The sequence below is a fragment of the Homo sapiens genome, chromosome 1 (assembly GCF_000001405.40).
Source record: "Homo sapiens chromosome 1, GRCh38.p14 Primary Assembly".
Classification (NCBI taxonomy): domain Eukaryota; kingdom Metazoa; phylum Chordata; class Mammalia; order Primates; family Hominidae; genus Homo; species Homo sapiens.
In genome coordinates this window covers 189016021-189038057 of record NC_000001.11, presented here as the reverse complement: position 1 = coordinate 189038057, position 22037 = coordinate 189016021, and the positions used below count along the sequence as shown (strand labels likewise).

Below are 22037 nucleotides of genomic sequence, written 5' to 3'. Positions count from 1 at the left end.
TGGCAATTAAAATAAAGCTGGGATTTTGAATAGATTCATAAAGTTGTTGACTATCAAGAAAGTCTGCAATATAAGAAATGAGAGAGTTGGCACCACTTCAATATTTAAAGTATTAACAGGTTAGTTGTGATAATATTAACAACAACTTCATTCCAATAAAGTCACCAACTTAGATGAATTAGAAAAATTATCAGAAAAACATAAAAATAAAACGTATTCAAGAATAAATATGAGGTTATACATTTGTTAATTAGCTAATTTTACTTTAAAACATCATATTATACATAAAAACATACAATTTATTTGTCAATTTAAGAAAGACATTTAAAAGAAATAGATGTAATTAGGATACAATTTAATAGCCTCAAGGCTGTCAACTAAACTGGTTTTATAGTTTAAAATCATTGCACAAAAGAAACTCCAGGAATAGAGGCTATCACTGGTGAATTCTACTACACACTTTAAGAAAGTAATAATTCCTGTTCTACACAAAGTCTCACAGAATTTTTGAAAAAGGAGGACTTTTTAAGTAGAAACATTTCAAACTCCTTTTTGACTTATAAATGTGGTCATAATAGACACTATACTTATTGCGTCTCTCCTGTGCAAGAAACTGTGCTTTCTACATATGAAGATATAGATGGAAGTGTTTATACTGCCACTGCAATTCATAAATATATATTTGATAAGGGATTAGGAAAACTAGATACATATTTGAAATGTAATATGTGGTCATTACTGTCAGCAATGAGCAGAAAATAGAGTACTATAGAAAAGATTACCATGAAAGGAACAGAATTGTGTTTCAGTTTTATATTTGATTTTTCAAAGAGATGGTGGAAAAGGATAGTTCTTACGTTTTGCATAATAAGAACAGGGCAAGAAAACTTTTTAAAATACTTGGACTATGGTGAAACAGAATTTTGGTAGAATATAATTTGAGGACAAAATATAATTAGTGGACTGAAAGAAAACAATACTTTGATCAACTTCTATGATGACAGCATGAGGCGTTCTACTGATCAGCTCTCCAAAATAACTGGTAAGTGGTGAAAATTCCAAAACTCCTCCCCATCTTTCAGCTGTAGTTTTCTGCTTCCCAGGAGGAGCGGGGCTTCATCATTTCTCGTTCTGCCCTTAGAAGCTTGTTGCTGAGGCTATGTTTCAGGGGAGTATGATGGAGAGCTATGGGCTCCTTTCATTCATCCAGCCTCATGCATGAATCAGAGGTTCTTCTTTCATGCAGTAAGCAGAGAGTACTCTGGGCCAACAGCCCTTGCTTTGTGAGGCATGGTTCCACGACAGGAGAGAGAAGCCAAGAGGACCCCAGGGGGGCAATTCTGGGGTTGAAAGAACAATAGTAAAAATAAAAAAAAATTCACTAAAGAAGCTCAACAAAATATATAACAGGTAAAGGAAAAAAAAAGTGTGAACCTGAAGAAACAAAATAAACATTTAGGAAATTCTACAAATTCCATGTAGATAAAAATAAGATACTCATAAGCATGCACATCAAGGTAAAATACTGAAAGCTAAAGCCAAGGAGAAAACCTTGAAAATATGCAAGAAACAATATACACCATTTGAAAGGGATAGTCAAGAAGATTAACTGCCTACAACCTGAATTTTAGTTTGGCAGTTTTAGTGATTCTGAAAAGAAAACCAAAGGATAAGATTCTAAGGTCATGAAATATTTGCCTGTTTTACTCTACCTTGTCTATATTGAGATGTCATTTATTTACTCCTGAAAATCGAGAATATCAGTTGATACTCTTGGTTAATCAATAGTTTTATCAATGAAGTATATACTTTTGGCTTTCTATCGATGTCACCCCGGTTATTTGTTAATTACACATTGAAGTCAGCTGCACATCTACCTTGGAAGACATTTACGTAAAAAGCTTGTAATAGTTTCATTAACAATGTCTGCTTTTCTTATCCCCACACCAACATCATACTGGCTGACATAGTATAAAGAACAGGTGTTTCTTATTTATCTTCACCAAAGATGGCTTTGTCCTGTGGATAAAAGTAGAATAAACATATTTGAGAAGCCTTACTGAGGAAAAGGCCATGTGAAACCCTGACACAGACTAAACTTTCCTCCACATTAGAGGAGAAATTCTGAGAGGAAATTCTTGGGACTACCACTTTCAGAACAAAGCTGAAATTATCCGACTATTTTGGGAAACTTTTGGTGATTTCCTTGGACATTTAATTTTATTTATTTTTTTTTTGCATTACCAAAATCTTAATGTTTCCTATAGATCTCCTGGTTTTCCTTTATATTTCATATGGAAAGAACTGTTAGCACTTGCATAGCCATCCTATTCCCAACATTTAAACATCTGTCTGAGTCACAGAGCTGTTGGGCATTTGGGGTTACTCTGCTTTGTAGCAGCTCTCTCCATTAAAGAGGAAAAAAAAGGTATTATGCAGAAGCCTGAAAGGAATGGATTCACAAAACATTTGTATGTTAGTACAACCCACTAGCCTGCTTCTTCTTTCTCCCCAAATTCTAACTGACAATAGTAGTTATTGTTATTTACAGTTTAAAATTATGAATGCAAAAATAGCAGAGCATTTGTAGTGAATTAAAGAATTCAAAACACAAGTGTCTTATGTCTTCTGTTATATTGATTGAGTTTGATTATATAATTACAGAAACTACTGTGAAGGACAGAAATGGTAGGTATTTGATAAAGGGAAAATGAATTGTTATAAGAAAGACAAAGTGTGTGATTAAAGATGAGGTTTGAGAGGTGCAGCAATTTTGAACAACAGCAATACCCAAGGCGTGACAACAGAAGTGCAACCAAGTTATGGGGTTTAAGGATTTAGCCAACCATAAATTAAAGAAATTAATCACGGAGATATATATGTGTGTGTGTGTGTGTGTGTGTGTGTGTGCGCGCGTGCGTGTGTGTCATTATTACAAGGCATAGACTACAGCTTAAGAGTAAGGGAAGCTTTTGAAGAATTTGAAGAAAATTGAATAATATCATGAAGTTCTTTAGAATACTGACAAGTAGACAAGACTTTTAAAAAAAAATCCGATGTAACAATCTCTTGAACAAGTTTTCTTTAGCTCACTGTGATCCTCAAGTTAAAAAATGAAGTTAAACTTCTTTACAAAGGTAATATTTTATTTTTTTTATACTTACATGTATCTCCTTCTTCTGACAGTGACCTGCTTCTCAAGGGCTCTTAATGTCACTTGTCACTTAGAGTTCATGTTACTGAGTTGGCTGAAAGTCATGTTCAATTTTCACAACCTCTTTATTAATAATCAGTGTGTATCTCAAGAGACAAATCCTCATACCTGCTCTAATTTTTTTTAAAAGCTAATGCCTTTTATATCCATTGCAAAAGCAAGTCATTTAGGAGAGAAAAAGCTATCTAATTGTTTTAGCCAATTTAAATTAAATTGAAATGCCTTTATATGAAACTCTGGCAGAATGTGCTTTGAAATATGAAGGTGCTTCAACTTAAAGCATGGGGTTAGTTTGAAGAAATGCCAACATATCGTCTGATTTCCATTCATCAGTAAAATTCTAAGTTCCTTTTTGCCTTTTAAACCTATAACCCCATGATTCATAATTCTACATGGTTTTCCTTATTTTCTTTGTTAAAATAATTTGTTCACCAGGTAGTATCAATAACTGAAAATAAAACTGCAAAGTAGTCAGTTCATTCCATGAAAAATTATATGTATTTTGCAATGTAGAAGATTCAGGGGCTTTGGTAGATATATAAATATATCTTCATTTGTGAGGTATCAATGTAAATAACAGTATAAAAGCTCCCTTAATTTTCCTCCAAATGTATTTTTTTTCTCTCTGAGAATCATTAAATACATGTTGGAATGTTTTGAAAAGCAGGAGGAATGTAGATTTTACTTGGGAAAGAGAATGAAGACTCTGACTGGTTTGTTTTTGTTTTGTTTTGTGATATAGAGTCTCGCTCTGTCACTCAGGCTGGAGTGTGGTGGTGCAATCTCAGCTTGCTGCAACTTCTGCCTCTTGTGTTCAAGTGATTCTTCTGCCTCAGCCTCCCCAGTAGCTGGGATTACAGGCACCTGCCCCCACCCTCTAATTTTTGTATTTTTAGTAGAGACGAGGTTTTACCATGTTGGCCAGACTGGTCTCGAACTGCTGACCTCAAGTGATCTGCCTGCCTCGGCCTCCCAAATCTAATTTTTGTTTGTTTGTTTAAACATAACAAAATAATGAATAGTTTACTTGGAAAATTAGTTGGCATTTAGAATAGCCCAGAGTCTTAGAGAGAGCATACGTTTTCTGAAGGTTATAATTACATTATCAACAGTTATAACAATCATAACACTAACTTATTGAATTATGTGTCAGGAATTATGCCAAGTACTTTATATGCATAAGTCTAATTTAATATTCTGCAAATCTGTGCTTAAGATATTACCCCAACTTGCTGTTCAGAAAACTGAGTCTACTAGAAGTAAAGCAAAATATCCAATATTTCACAAGAGCATTAGGAGACTTAAAATCCAAACTCAATTATCATATTGTAGCACTTGCTCTTAAAAACTATATTATACTACTTCCTAGTAAAAATTATTGGTACAGTCTTGTGCTGGAATATTAAAAAGAGGTACATGTCAACTAAAGACATACATTTAAATCTCTGTTTTTACCTCCTGGCTAATTTTGCTTACACAGCAATTTAATTATCAATTTGATTCTACAGAGAGATTATGCCCCCTGTAATCCATGCCTATTGGCCTGTCTGTTGTTAATGTAAAAATAAAAAATATGTTTTTCAAAGAATAAATATATTATGTTCTTGAAACTATCTTTGAAAACAATGTTTGAAAACAGTCTCTAATTATTCATTAGGAAAACTGAGCAGAAAACTAAGTACATGTTTTTCATTAAAAATATATATATTCAGTTAAAAACCATTATTTTGATATAATTTATTTGTAAAATATATCTAAAAGCTTATGCAGAAAATAGTGATTTCATCCAAAGGGAATTATGTTTTTAAAAGTATCGTAAAATTATCATCTTAATACAAGCCTACAGTTATTTGTTTTTAGTTTCTTTCATTTAAACTTTTAATGATTGCCATTCTAACTGCTGTGAGATGATATCTCATTGTGGTTTTGATTTGCATTTCTCTGATGGCCAGTGATGATTAGCATTTTTTCATGTGTCTGTTGGCTGCATAAATGTCTTCTTTTGAGAAGTGTCTGTTCATATCCTTGGCCCACTTTTTGATGGGGTTGTTTTTTTCTTGTAAATTTGTTTGAGTTCTTTGTAGATTCTGGATATTAGCCCTTTGTCAGATGAGTAGATTGCAAAAATTTTCTCCCATTCTGTAAGTTGCCTGTTCATTTTGATGGTAGTTTCTTTTGCTGTGCAGAAGCTCTGTAGTTTAGTTATATCCCATTTGTCAATTTAGGCTTCTGTTGCCATTGCTTTCGGTGTTCTAGACATGAAGTCCTTGCACATGCCTATGTCCTGAATGGTATTGCCCAGGTTTTCTTCTAGGGTTTTTATAGTTTTAGGTCTAACATTTAAGTCTTTAATCCATCTTGAATTAATTTTTGTGTAAGGTGTAAGGAAGGGATCCAGTTTCAGCTTTCTCCATATGGCTAGCCAGTTTTTCCAGCACCATTTGTTAAATAGGAAATCCTTTCCCCATTTCTTGTTTTTGTCAGGTTTGTCAAAGATCGCATAGTTGTAGATGTGTGGTATTATAAACAACAGGTGCTGGAAAGGATGTGGAGAAATAGGAACACTTTTACACTGTTGGTGGGACTGTAAACTAGTTCAACCACTGTGGAAGACAGTGTGGCGATTCCTCAGGGATCTAGAACTAGAAATGCCATTTGACCCAGCCATCCCATTACTGGGTATATACCCAAAGGATTATAAGTCATGCTGCTATAAAGACACATGCACACATATGTTTATTGCGGCACTACTCACAATAGCAAAGACTTTGAACCAACCCAAATGTCCATCAATGATAGATTGGATTAAGAAAATGTGGCACATATACACCATGGAATACTATGCAGCCATAAAAAATGATGAGTTCATGTCCTTTGTAGGGACATGGATGAAGCTGGAAACCATTATTTTCAGCAAACTATCGCAAGGACAAAAAACCAAACACCGCATGTTCTCACTCACAGGTGGCAATTGAACAATGAGAACACTTAGACACAGGAAGGGGAACATCACACACCAGGGCCTATTGTGGGGTGGGGGGAGGGGGGAGGGATAGCATTACGAGATATACCTAATGTAAATGACAAGTTAATGGGTGCAGCACACCAACATGGCACATGTATATATATGTAACAAACCTGCACATTGTGCACACATACCCCAGAACTTAAAGTATTATATATATATATATAAAATATATATATATATATATATATATAAACTTTTAAGATATATTCAGGGTTTTTAAAAGTTCTTTTATTTTTTGAAGTGAAAAATAATAACTGAGTTTGCGTAGGCGTGTTTTTGAATCTTTCTCAATTAAACATGGTTAAGAGCTTGAAAATATTCTGAGTGCTCCCTTTCTTTCATGAAGACATTTTAATGATAAAATCTCTAACTAATCAATTCCTTATCCCATCATATTTTTTTCTGCTTTTCAAGAAGTATGACAACTAAAGCCTTTCCTCAATAACTTTTCCTAATTTTATTTCAAGCTTACATGTGTTTAGTTTAAGCTGTTTCAATTGCTAACAAATTACCACAAAAATAGCAACTTAAAATAGCAATTGTTCATTATCTTATAGTTTATGTGGTAAAATGTCTAAGCATGGCATAGCTGGTTCCTCTACTTAGCATCCCATAAGACTTCAATCAAAGGTGTCAGTCAGGTTGCATTCTCATCTGGAGGCTCTGGGAGGAAATAATTGACCTCTATGCTCGCTCAGTATATTGAAAGAAGTCATTTTCTTTAACTGTATGTCTGAAGGGCCCAGCTTCTTGCAACTGGGGTTTCAGACCTGCCTAAGCTCATGGGGGCTGCTTGTGGTTCCTTGCCCTATGGGCCCTCCCAACGTGGCTACTTCACCACTTCAGCAAGGATAGCCTCTCTTACATGTCCACTAGCAAGATGGAGCCGTACATAGCAGAACATAATCATGGAGGAGACATTCATCACTTTTTCTTTATTCTATTGGTTGAAAGCAAATCACAGGTCCTGCTCCTATAATAGCATGAGCACTGGGAGGCAGAGATCATGAGTGGCTGATTTAGAATTTCTGTCCATTACATTAAGCACAAATAAACAAACCTTCTGAAGACATCTTTAAATATATTCTCCTAGATATTTAAGAGGTAATGAGAACTTGTTTAGTGCCTAGGATGAAAAAAAGTCGTGCCTAGGATGAAAAAAAGTCATACCTAGGTGATGCCAAATAGAGGACAGATATATTTTTAAATGTTAGCCTTGAGCATTCTTGTGTTTACCACAACCATTCTGTGTAAGTTTATTATAGACATAATAAAGCAACACACTTTTGTTGCTTGACTTGCAAAATGGTAGAATTTTAAAACTATACTTGTTGGGAACATGTGTCTAGTAAAATCTTTAACAGTGAACATTTGCGAATGAACAAATCAATGACTGACTGGCTGACCAACTGAATACATTAACTTTTTAAAAAAGCAATTATCTTAGGGGACACAGGCACACATATTCATTCTCCTGCCTGACATGCACACAACTAAACAAAGATGATTTGTAGATTTTCATAATTACTAAATAGGTTCTACAAAAAGCCCTAATTTGGATTTTCTAGTATTAAGCACCTGTTTAATTTTTATTACTCATTTAACTTGAAATCTACAAGGGGAAGAAAAAGCCTAAGATGATCAGATCTAGAACATTACATGAAAATATGATAAGGAGGGGAAAAATTAAAAGGAAAAAAAGACTTAGAATATAAGGACAAGCAATACTTCCTGACTTCCTGAAGATCTGTCATGATGAAAAGATAAAGGAGCCAAAGTCCTTTCTATATTGCTATCTGAGGAAAGGATTAGGGGATTATGATGATTGTGGAAAACAAAAACAAAATAACAGCACCAGTGAAATGTGCTAAGGAAAAAGAAGAGATAATATGAAAAAAAATCCCGTAATTATTACGGAAGACCACTTATTTCTTACTAAAATTCTTAAGGTTTTACAATTTTATATCAGAGAAGTAATTTATTGTGAGCCTTTGGTCACAATATTTTTATTAACTGGTTATTACATAGCTTTGTTTTGTGCGTGTTTCTATTTGAAGACACCTATATTTAAAGACACATATTTTCTCTGTAATATTGCAGTCCTCTTGTGATTAAAACACTAGACATTACTTCAGCGCTACATGTAGGGGCAATTTTAAACAGTGAAATTACTAAAGCAAAACAGAAAATTACACAAAGAATGACACTAAATATACCACCAAAAGTACACTGCATTTCCTATGAGAGTTGAACCAAAAAGGCAGAGTATTCCCTTGTTCTACTTATGTGGTAATGTGTGCATAGGGTGACATAAATGTTTCATCACTCTGTACCTTCAATGACCACAAAAGTGACATGAGTAAAAATTTGGAGGATAAAAATAATTGTCAGCCTGCAGGTGAATTCACAAATATAGAATCCATGCATACTGTATCAACTGTATTTCTGATTTAATTTTGTCATCTTTTCCTCCCAGGTCTATGAAGAATACTATAATAATCATCTCTCAGGGTTTATAATTCTACTAATAAATATTTATTTTAAATATTAATAGAAGAAAAATAAATATAATTCCTTTTCACCAGTAAAAAACTTAAAATCTATGTAAATAGATCTTGATTTCAGTGAAATGCAACATTAGAAAGCTATTATTTTCAAGACTAACATATTATAGAAAGAAACTTTATACCATGTTAGATCTCTAATACAGTATATTAATCATACATCAATAGTTGTATAAAAATCACTGAAATTTAGTAGCTTAAAAATATTATCCTATACAGTCTTTAAGTTAGTAGTTTAGCAGAATGGTTCTTGCTCAAGTTATTTGATAAGTCATCTCAAGGCCTGAATGAAACTGGAGAATTACCTTCCACTCACTCACTTGGTTGTTAGCTGAAGATCTTGATTCCTCTCGGCTCTTGGTAGGTGGATTCTGATTCCCCAACAGGGACTCTCCATGGAGGACATGGTGACTATCATTAAGCAGGTGATAAGAGAGCAAGAGAGACAAAATATATACATGCCTTGCATAACCTAACATCACGAGTGACATATCATTATTGTTACCTTCTTTTGGTTACACAGACTGAACATATTATCATATGGGAGGAGCCTACAAAAGAATTTGAACATAAACAACACCAGGATCAATGGGGGATGCCTTGGAGGGTGGATATCAAATATAGATTTTGTTCAACAACCTTTTCAATAGTTCAGCTAGAAACCTTATGCTCAGGTGAGAACAGAAATGTCTACAAAGCATATCTACCATACAGAATAAAAAATTTAGAGTTAAAAGAAATATGTTCTGAGTAGATTTATGATATGTTCTGTAAAGATTTCATGTAGTATATTGGGGTAGTTTTGTCATTCACTCAGAAAAAAGTCAAACAACTAAATATCATAATTTTTATAATAATCTGTATTTACTGCTGATGTACAAATGATGCTTTATTAATGTATAGTTCTAAAATTGCATTCAATTTCATATATATATAAAGAGAAAGAGAGACAGAGAAAGAAAGAGACAGACAGGCAGAGATAGAGAGAGCTTTTTATGTCTCTTGGTCACAGAATATCAGGGCACTACTAATGTAAAAAAATACACTAATATTCTAGATCTAATTCATGTTTGTGTATTTAATATAAACTGTTTAAAGTATTATTACATCATGATGACAATATAATTCAGATCCATTCATATTTGCTATATTACAGATAATTGATAAATTTAATTTAGAAAAACATTTTAATAGTAATCTTTCAAAAGCACTTTCATAGATCATCATATATAGATCCTCTTATACAAAGTAAATCATATTAATTCATTTATGCATCCACTTAGCAATCAATTTTAAAGTGCCTACTATCTGTCAGATACAGTTCTAAGAACTGAAAATGTGGCAGTGAATAAAATAGATGAAAATTGCTGCCCTCATGTAGTTTTGTTCTAGTGAGAAGAGAGGAGTAATAAGCACGTTAATAAGTAAAAGTTACTTGGCCCAAACTAAAGTCAAAAGGTAAAAAAGATACTGTTAGAGATAGGTGAAATTTTAACCAAATTGTTGCGCAAGACTATCAAAGGAAACACCCTTAAGATCAGAGGAGAGGAGTGAGAAGTAACTTTCCAGACATGTAACAGGTTAACGTTACATCGAAGAGACTCTTTGGCGGGAACAGAGTAAACAAGAGAGAAAAATTGGAAATAAAGTCAGAACTGGATGTTCACCTTATGTTGTAGGACACTATCAACTATTTCTTTATTTTTCTTTTTGTTTCAGAGTGAGAAGAGAGCCATTTTGTGGAAGGGGGGACATAAAACAAAGCAATAGTGAAAAGTCTATTAAAATATCCCTGGTGAGAGATGATGATGACCTGTGGTGTTAGTAGTAACTAATTTACATCCTCAATATAATTCCAATTAAAGCACCAACACGTTTTTGTAGAACCCAGCAGAGCGATTATGATTATTATTATGAGGGAAAAAAGTACAAAAAACAGCAAGTGTTTGAGAAGCAGAACAGGGTAAGTTCCTGTCATGTCTACTATCAATAATGATTTTGAAGACGTACTAAATTAAAGTAGTAAATTAATGCTAGATGATATAAAATTTAGCCTAATAGAATGGGTGATAGGTGTAACCTATCAAGAAGGTTTTGGATCATCTTTTATTAGAAAGGTTCTCATTATAATATGGCTTTAAATATGCATATATTTTCATGCAGTATTATATTTTATTTTGCTACAAAATTAGAACAAATACAATAAAATGTTGACATTGAATAAAATACCTGATATGTTAAAATACATTAAATTCCTGGCTATCTCTCTAATATTATTTCTCCTATTTGCATTTTGATATGCTTCATTAAGTTGGAACAAAATAAATTAATTTATAGGTAGGATAGTAGCAGTCACAATTAATCTAGATATACCAATTGGAATAGATATTTCACTTTGAGTATTGTAACGAAATCATTGAGAATTTGCTTTAGTCTATTATTTGCATTTCTAAACAATACTATTTTTATTTCAATCTTTGTGATTTGTTCACATTTATTTTCATGTCTTAAAAGACATGAAAATTTGTACTTGATTTTGGTAATGGCAGGAGGAGGTGAAATGAATAAAAAGTAAGTATTTAAAATATACTATATGTGTTTACTGTTTTATAAATACTCATTTGTTAATCTGAATAGTAAACATAATTATAACATCTTGCATTTATTAGAGACTTTATGTCAGGCACAATGCTATATATAGTATTAATGTAATCTCTTATATATGTATTTAAATCTCTTTTATTCTTGGAAATCATCATGGTTATTTTGGTTTATTAAATGAATGACATGTTAAAAAACAAGCCTTCATCTCTCTAAAAATGTCATATTAATGTACTCACATAAAGAAATAATGGAATGATTAAAAATTGACAATTTTTCTTAATGTATTTGTATATTATAAAACTGGTAGTCTGTGCACCTGCCACCAGTAATCTGCAATTATCCATTGCCTGAAAGTCTGCAATATGCTTTATAAGCCAAAAAGTAAAGCTGTTTTCAAAAGAGAACACAAAATAGAATGCAAGTTGTCACTTTCTTTGAGCAGCCATCTGTCTTAGAACTACTTTTCTGCAACTGAATATAAAAGAAATAGAATTGGCCGGGCGCGGTGGCTCACGCCTGTAATCCCAGCACTTTGGGAGGCCGAGGCGGGTGGATCATGAGGTCAAGAGATCGAGACCATCCTGGCTAACAAGGTGAAACCCCGTCTCTACTAAAAATACAAAAAATTAGCCGGGCGCGGTGGCGGGCGCCTGTAGTCCCAGCTACTCGGGAGGCTGAGGCAGGAGAATGGCGTGAACCCGGGAAGCGGAGCTTGCAGTGAGCCGAGATTGCGCCACTGCAGTCCGCAGTCCGGCCTGGGCGACAGAGCGAGACTCCGTCTCAAAAAAAAAAAAAAAAAAAAAAAAAAAAAAAAAAAAGAAATAGAATTGAGACAAATTGTCTATTCAGGATTATAGCAGGTTGTTATGATTTTAAATAATGAGATAGATGTATAAAAGTATTAACTCCAACTATCATATAGAAGATTGCTTAAATAATATACATTTAAAGTTATTAGTAACACTTTATAAAATCTTTCAGTTTGATCACAGTTTTAGAGTATAGATACACTCTTACGATTAGCATGTTATCTTTGCAAATTATCTGCATATTTGTAAAAAGCCAAATATTCAACTGCATGAGGATTGGCATTGCAATATAAGGATTGAAAGTTAGATGCGTGGTCAGAAGAATGTCATTTTCAAATAAATTGAATTGTTTGTGTAAGGGGGGCAACAAAGGCGAATGAGTAAGTGGCATTTGGTTTAAATTTATTCCACATTTTTTTTGTTTTTTTTTTTTGGTCAGATGGTGGCAATAACTGTAGCTACATCACAGGGTTTACACGATAACTGAATTAAATAATATGATTAAAATAAAAACCCTAAATTAACATTAAAAGTGCATAGAAAATATTCAATAGATATACTAAAATGAAAATAAAGAGTAAATAATAAGTTAGTGCTTACTGATTTTCTTGTTGCCAAGCTAAATTTTTCTGCATTTGGAATACATACGTTTTACATAAATAATTTTATTTTCTTTTCCAATGCAGAGGTTAACTAAAAAAATATATATTTGTAGCATACAAATAAATATGAATATACATATGTGTGTGTGTGTATGAGTACATGTGGAGTTATTGAGGTCATTTGGTTAATATAAATGATATATAAATCATAGAATACAATGAATGCAACTAAACTATTAATTACAATATTATGGCTTCACTTTGTAGTTCCTTTAACCTTTCTGTACATAGTAATGAAAGTTGGCCACACCTTGGACGTCAGTTCTATCTAGGATCCTGTGTGCAGGGGACAGATAATGACACAGTAGAGATACAATGTTCTACAGTGTTCACTCTTGAGGAGACTTTAATCCAACTGGTGAAGTAAGATAGAAATAGGTAAATGCTTCTAGAGAGCTAACAATTTGGATCCCTGAGAAAGCCAGTCTTACCTGCAGTTCAGGCTATAACCCAAGCATAAAAATGACAGATATAGACAGATTAGATAGATGATAGATAGATAGATAGATAGATAGATAGATAGATAGATGGATGATAGATAGATAGATAGATAGATAGATAGATAGATAGATAGATAGATAGATAATAGACAGACTGCGGTTTTCGCCATGAAAAGCATGGTAAAAACCACAAATACTTTTGCACCCACTCGATAGATAGATACATAGACAGAGAGATGACAGAGTAAATTCACTTCACAGCACACTTCAAATTCTCACTGAAGACATTAAAAACATACATCTTGGCTGGGCGCGGTGGCTCACGCCTGTAATCCCAGCACTTTGGGAGGCCGAGACGGGTGGATCACAAGGTCAGGAGATCGAGACCATCCTGGCTAACATGGTGAAACCCTGTCTCTACTAAAAATACAAAAAAATTAGCCGGGCGTAGTGGCGGGCGCCTGTAGTCCCAGCTACTCGGGAGGCTGAGGCAGGAGAATGGCGTGAACCCGGGAGGCGGAGCTTGCAGTGAGCCGAGATCGCGCCACTGAACTCCAGCCTGGGCGACAGAGCGAGACTCCGTCTCAAAAAAAAAAAAAAAAATTATACATCTAAATTTCTAAGTCACAGAGTCTGTTTATAGCACTGACTCTATCTTTCAAAAGTATTTTTCATGATGGTCCTCTTTTTGCTTTCTCTCATATTCTGTCTCCGTGACCTCGATAATTTTGGACTTCTCCCCGTGTATTTGGCTAGGCCTTCTTGGGGGCCCCTGTATTACACTATCCTTCTCTTCTCACTGTTCCCTACTCATAAAGGAAACCCATTACTTTCCCAGCATGTTGTTACTAACTTAAATATACCTAATTACAAAATCAACATCTCCGTTTAGACCTCTCTGAATTTCAAAACTGTATATTTAGCTGCCTACTTTGCTTTTCCACTTAGAAGTTACTAAGGAACCTTAAAGTAAACATGCTTGAAACGTGACACAGGAATTTCCCCTCTATAGCTAATAAAACTCTAGAGTACACTATTTTTTTTATTTTTATTTTTATTTTTTTGAGACTGAGTCTTGCTCTATTGCCCAGGCTGGAGTGCAGTGATGCAATCTCGGCTCACTGCCAGCTCCGCCTCCCGGGTTTACGCCATTCTCCTGCCTCAGCCTCCGGAGTAGCTGGGACTACAGGCGCCCGCCACCACGCCCGGCTAATTGTTTGCATTTTTAGTAGAGACGGGGTTTCACCGTGTTAGCCATGATGGTCTCGATCTCCTGACCTCGTGATCCGCCCCACCTCGGCCTCCCAAAGTGCTAGGATTACAGGCGTGAGCCACCGCAAGTACACAATTTTATACTCTAGGTAAAAAACAATAATTTTACCTCTAGCCATGAAGGAGGTATTATTTATTATTCTGACAGTTTTCATTTATCAGCCATTCTAGCTTCCAAATATCTATGTCCACTCACATTTCTGTATTCTAGCTAACATCACAATAACCTGAGCTAACAAAGTCTCTGACCAATGATTTAATTGTTTCCCAGTATTTCAGTGGCATCTTTCTTTCTTTTTTTTTTTTTTTTTTGTGAGACGGAGTCTCGCTCTGTTGCCCATGCCGGAGTGCAGTGGCACAAGCTTGGCTCACTGCAACCTCCGCCTCCCAGGTTCCAGTGATCCTAGCAACTCAGCTTTTCAAGTAGCTGAGATTACAGGCGCCCGCCACCACGCCCGGCTAATTTTTGTATTTTAGTGGACACGGGGTTTCACCATGTTGGCCAGGCAGTTCTCGAACTCCTGACGTCAGGTGATCCGCCTGCCTTGGCCTCCCAAAGTGCTGGCATTACAGGCGTGAGCCACCGCACCTGGCCCATTTTTTTCTCATATAAAGCATTCTCCATATTCTGGGGTTATTGTATCATAAATTTTATTCTCAAACAGAAAAAGAAAAACAAAAATGCAAAAGGCTTACTAGTGCACATAGAAAACACCTCAATTCCTTACACAATCCAGAGAAGCATTGCTTCAACACATTCACATTAGCATCTGGAAATCAGCATTGTAAACAGATACCTGTAAGGATGTTTAATACCCTAATGTGTAAAAAACATGGATATAATTGATTAGGCCTTTCATGATCCTACTTATCACATCATTGTTTTCCACACATATATTCTAAATGACTTATGCCTTTCCTTACATATATTTTTTTCTGCTTAATTTGCAAGAAATCATTTTGAAAATCCATCCCAGTTCACCTAGTAAATGTATACTTACCCTTGACATCTCAGCTTAAATAGTATTATCTTTTAAGATAAAATTCCAAGAGTTTTCTATGCTCACTGTATCCTTCATTTCACCTCTAACTCTCTTTGGAACACTTGCCGATCAGTTCACTATTTCCAATACATCACATTAACTTCTCTTTCCAGAGTCATAGCTTACATGGTGTCTGTAAAGCAAATGATATCCAAGGGAGAGGTCCCACTGCGTGGAAGATAGTAAAGAGCATGATAATGCCCACCACTAGGAGCAGCCGTTCTGGGATATCAACCGAGTGCATGGTTTGCCTGTGTCAGGGTCAACAAGAAAGACATGACTCTCATAAACACTGGAGGAGGTTCATCACATAGAAAAGAAAGCAAAACACCATGGATAGTGAGTATCAGTCCACAGCCAGTGATTCTCACCCAGCAGTCCACCAAAGAGATGGTCTACAGGCACCTTCTTGTCCTGCAGACAATACATCCCATTCCCTCTTTACCAGAAACAAACAGTAGTGGGGTTGACCAGGTAACCCTGATGCACACCCTTCAGCAGACCAAAGTACTACTTTTCAAACCTGGAACAGAGAAAGATACTAACAAACAAAGTGGTAAGCCCAGCCACAATATGTGAGCTCTCTTTACCACCGTATAAGAAAATGCTCAAGGCTGGAGACACACGTTTGTGACACAATGCGAGTGTCAGCAAGCTGCCAAGATGTATGACTGCCTTTCCCAAGAATGTCAAGAATCAAAAGTTGGTGCTAAGTTTTCACCTTTCTCAATTTCTCGATGGCATTTGGCAGAATGTATTATTTGCACAGTGACATTCTTTTCCACTTTGTTTCTGAGATAATATTTTAAACTCAATTCATTTGGATTCTACCTCGGTAAAATGACCTGCTGTAACCAACTTCTCTAAAGTAGCATCCTTGCCATTCTCTTCTAGTCCTTATAATTTATTTTCAATAAGAATACTTATATTTGCACAAATATATAAGCATAATATATTGCATAAGATAATCTAAATTCACCAGAAATGGGATTTTATTTTTATTTTTTGGTTTTATTGGGCTGTGTGTGTGTGTTTAGAAAAAATTTTGGTTTTAGTACAGTTTTAGATTTATAGAAAAACTGCAAAAATAATAAAAAAGTCCTATATACTGCAAAACTAGTTTCCTCAATTATTAACATTTTATATTAATATGACACATGTGCTACAATTAATGAACAAACACTGATACATTATCATTAACTAAAGAACATACTTTATGCAGATTATCTTAGTTTTTAACTTAACATCATTTTTCTGCTCCAGAATTATATACAAGATACCACATTACATTTGGTAGTTATGTCTCCTTAAGCTCCTTGTGACTGTGACACATTTCTTAGACTTTCCTTGTTTTGATGACAGTTATGAAGACCACTTGCCAGGTGTTTTGTAGAATGTCCCTCAACTAGTATTTGCCTTGATTTTTTTTTCTCATGATTGGACTGGGGTTATATGTTCTGGGGAGAAACACCATAGAAGTAAAGCGCCATTGTCATCCCATCACATCAAGGGTACGTACTATCTGTTAACTTGACTTTTCACTGTTGATGTTGACCATGATCACCCAGCTGACAGTGTTTGTTAAATTTAACTACCGTAAATCTATCATTTTTTTCATTGCCACTCCATATTCTTTGGACAGAAGTCACTATATGAAGCATTAATTTTCATTTAAATAGTAAGGAGTTATGCTAGAAGATGAGGTATCTTCATACATTATTTAAAATTATTCTCTTCCACATTTATGTGTTTATTCAATCATTTGTTTATATCAGTATAAACACACAGGTATTTGTTTTATCCTTTTGAAAATAATCTAGCACTACATTATTTATTTTATTCCTGTTTTGGCTTTTGGAATTGTTTTTGATAGGCTTCTGTGTTCCCTTGATGTAACCCCATCATTTGCGGGTTGTTTTTAAGGACATCCTGAACTTTTGTATGTTTATCTTTTATAATATAATCTTTAAGCTTGTTTTGCATATTCTTCCTCTTATTCCCGAATTACCCATTTCTCAAAACAACTCTGGATTCTTTTACTGAAAAATTGTATTAGAAAATAAGATCTGGGCCCTAGATGGGCTATGCCTTACTGGGGTGTTATCATCTTTGTAAATGCTTAGGTAACAGAGCAAGGAAATACACATGTGTATACTAACCTGTGTTTATATACACCTATATAAAATATTTCTATATGTCATCACCTATATATATTAAAATAAATATGAATGTATATGGATACACCCAAGACGATTATATTATTTCATTAAAATGGTTATTTCTAGTCACCTACTCTTGATTATATGTAAATTTTTACTCCAACATTGAGAGGTCTGACTCCCACCATCTGTCACACATTACTTAATTATGTGTTTCTATTATAGAAGTATAGTAGTATCTACATACATGTACAGCAGTATCATAATCATTAACTCATATCCCCATTAAAAGCAACTTTATAGAGTACGGTGCTTATGTATAGTTCCTTTTGCTCTTAATCTTTCAGTCTCTATTTATTTTCAAAGTTACTTGAATTAGCATTTTCCTCATCCCATTCAGTGAGATTGTCTTACATATACATAATATAGTTAGATCGTTTTGTTATGTTTTTTATTCTTTTCTGGACCCTCCAACCTCCAAAATTGTTTTATTTTAATTTGTGTACATTAAGGTTTACTCTTTGCATTGTAAAATTCCACAAGTTTTCACAAATGTATAATGTTTATATAATGTACCCACCATTGCAGTATCATACAGAATACATTCTCTAAAGAGTTCTGTTGTGTTGACACCATTAAAATCCTGTCCACTTTCCCCTGGCAATCACTAATCTATTTGCTGTCACTAGAGTTTTAATTTTTCCAAAAATCATATAATTGCAAACATACAGTATGTAGCATTCTCAGAGTGCTTGTTTCTTTGGGAAATGCATTTAAAGTTTGTATTTGTCAGGGTTCTCCAGAGGGACAGAACTAGTAGGACATATGTATATATGAAGGAACTTTATCAGGGAGAATGGGCTCATATGATCACAAGGTGAAGTCTCACAATAGGCCATCTGCAGGCTGGGAAAGAAAGAAGCTAGTAGTGGCTCAATCTGAGTCTAAAAACCTCAAAAGTAGGGAAGCTGACGGTGCAAGCTTCAGTCTGTGGCCGAAGGCCCAAAAATCCCTGGCAAGCCAATGGTATAAGTCCAAGAGTTCAAAGGCAAAAGAAACTGCCGTCTGATGTCCAAGAGCAGGAAGAATGGAAGGAAGCATCCGGCGCAGGAAAAGACAATAGCCAGAAGACTCAGAAAGCCAGTTTATCACACCGTCTTCTGCCTGTTTTTTCTAGCTGCCCTTGGAGCCAACTGAATGGTGCCCACCTACATTGAGGATGGTTCTTCCCCTCCCAGTCCACTGACTCAACTGTCAGTCTCCTCTGGCAACACCCTCACAGAAATACCCAGAAACAATGCTTTACTAGCTATGTAGGTATCCTTCGATCCAATAAAGTTGACACCTAATATTAACCATCACAAGGTTCATCCACATCTTTTCATGACTTGACAGCTTATTACTTTTATTTCTGAATAAAAATACATCCTGTGGATGTACCATATTTTGTTCACTCATTCATCTGCTGGAAGTTACCTTGATTGCTTTCAAGTTGTGGCAATTATAAATGAGTGTGAAGGATTTTGTGTATAGATAAGTTTTTAAATAATTTGAGTAAATACCTAACTAGGAACACAATCACTTAATTATATAAGAAGACCATGTATGTCTGTCTATGTAAGAAACTGACAAACTGTGTTCCAGAGTGGCTTTGCTATTTTTAATTTGCTCCAGCAATGAATGAGTTACTCTTATACTGCATCCTCTTTAGCAGTTAGTATTATCTTTTTTTTTTTTTTTTTTTTGAGTTAGGGAAAGTTAGCCAATCTAGCAGAATAGACATTCTAATAATGTTTAACAGTATCTCATAATTGTTTAAACTTTCAATTCCCTAATGAGAAACAATGTTAAGAATCTTTTCTGGTTGGGCACGGTGGCTCACACCTGTAACCCCAGCACTTCCGGAGGCCAAGGTGGGCGGATCACGAGGTCAGGAGATTGAGACCATCCTGGCTAACAAGGTGAAACCCCATCTCTACTAAAAATACAAAAAAAAAAAAAAAATTAGCCGGGTGTGGTGGCGGGCGCCTGTAGTCCCAGCTGCTTGGGAGGTTGAGGCAAGAGAATGGTGTGAACCTGGGAGGCGGAGCTTGCAGTGAGCCGAGATCACGCCACTGCACTCCAGCCTGAGTGACAGAGCGAGGCTCTCTCAAAAACAAATAAACAAACAAACAAACAAACAAGAATCTTTTCTTATTTTTTTTGCATGTGTGTGTGTGCGTGTGTGAGTGTGTGTGTGTATGAGAGAGAGAGTATGTGTGTTTACCCATGGTAGTTCCTAGAAGAGTCACCAGCATAAAATAGATGCTCATTAAACATTGTAAAGACTTTTCAAACCAGAATTTCATATCCAGCCAAACAAAGATTCATAAGCAAAAGAGAAATAAAATCCTTTCCATACAAGCAAATGCTGAGGGATTTTGTCACCACCAGGCCTGCTTTATAAGAGCTCCTAAAGGAAGCACTAAATATGGAAAGGAAAAACTGGTACCAGCCACTATAAAAACACACCAAAATATAAAGACCAATGACACTACGAAGAAACTGCATCAACTAATGTACAAAATAAGCAGCTAGCATCCTGATGACAGGATCAAATTCAGACATAACAATATTAACCTTAGTGGTAAACAGGCTAAATGCCCCAATAAAAAGACAGACTGGCAAACTGGAAAAAGAGTCAAGACCCATCAGTGTGCTGTATTCAGCAGACCCATCTCATGTGCAGAGACACACATAGGCTCAAAAGAAAGGGATGGAGGAATATTTACCAAGCAAATGGAAAGAAAAAAAAAGAAAAAAAAAGCAGGGGTTGCAATCTTAGTCTCTGATAAAACAGACTTTAAACAAACAAAGAACAAAAAAGACAAAGAAGGGCATTACACAATGGTAAAGGGATCAATGAAATAGAAGAGCTAACTATCCTAAATACATATGCACCCAATACAGGAGCACACAGATTCATAAAACAAGTTCTTAGAGACCTGCAGAGTTTTAGACTCCTGAACAATATTAGTGGTACATTTAAATCCCCATTGTCAGTATTAGGCAGATCAATGAGGCAGAAAATTAAGAAGGACAATCACGACTTGAACTCAGCTCTGGACCAAGAGGATCTAATAGACATCTACAGAACTCTCCACCCCAAATCAACATAATGTGCATTCTTCACAGCACCACATAGCACTTATTCTAAAATCGACCACAAAATTGAGGGTAAAACACTCATCAGCAAATGCAAATGAACAGAAATCATAACAGTCTCTCAGACCACAGTACAATCAAATTAGAACTTAGGATTAAGCAACACACTCAAAACTGCACAACTACATGGAAATCAAAAAAACTTCTCCTGAATGACTCCTGGGTAAATAACAAAATTAAGGCAGAAAAAAAGAAGTTCTTTGAAACCAGTGAGAACAAAGTGACAATGTTCCAGAATCTCTGGGAAACAGCTAAAGTAGTGTTAAGAGGGAAATTTATAGCACTAAATGCCTACATCAGAAAGCTGAAAAGATCTGAAACTGACACCCGAACATCACATTAAAAGAACTAGAGAAGCAAGAGCAAAGAAATTCAAAAGCTATCAGAAGGCAGGAAAAACTAAGATCAAACCAGAACTGAAGGGGATAAGAGACATGAAAAACCCTTCAAAAAATCAATGAATCCGGAAGATGGTTTTTTGAAAAGATTAACAAAATAGGCAGCCCACTAGATAGACTAATGAAGAATAAAAGAGAGAAGAATCAAATAGACAAAATAAAAAATGATAAAGGGGATATCACTACTGATCCCACAAAAATACAAACTCCCATCAAAGAAGAGTATAAATACCTCTACATAAATAAACTAGAAAATCTAGAAGAAATGGATACATTCCTGGACACATGCACCCTCCCAAGACTAAACCAGGAAGAAGTCGAATCCCTGAATAGGCCAGTAACATGATCTGAAATTGAGGCAGTAATTACTAGCCTATCAAACAAACAAACAAAATAAACAAACAAACAAACAAACAAAAAAACACAGGACCAGACGCATTCACAGCGGAATTATACCAGAGGTACAACAAGGAGCTGGTACCATTCCTTCTGAAACTACTCCAAAAATAGAAGGGACTCCTCCCTCACTAATCTTATGAAGCCAGCATCATTCTGATAAAAAAGTTGTGGAGAGAAGGGAATACTTATACATTGCTGGTGAAAATGTAAATTAGTTAATCCATTGTGGAAAGCAATGTGA

General features: G+C 35.1%; 1 long non-coding RNA gene and 1 pseudogene across 1 annotated transcript in view; one reads left to right on the top strand and one right to left on the bottom strand.

Annotated features, from left to right (window-relative positions):
• Nucleotides 1–242: 242 nt before the first annotated feature.
• Nucleotides 243–22037, bottom strand: part of LINC01035 (long intergenic non-protein coding RNA 1035) — a 132144-nt gene continuing 110349 nt past the window's right edge. Inside the window, exon 2 of the long non-coding RNA NR_174955.1 lies at nt 243–1340. This is a non-coding gene — a long non-coding RNA (long intergenic non-protein coding RNA 1035). The remainder of the gene's footprint in view (nt 1341–22037) is intronic.
• On the top strand, nt 1614–2097 carry CLPTM1LP1 (CLPTM1L pseudogene 1; annotated as a pseudogene).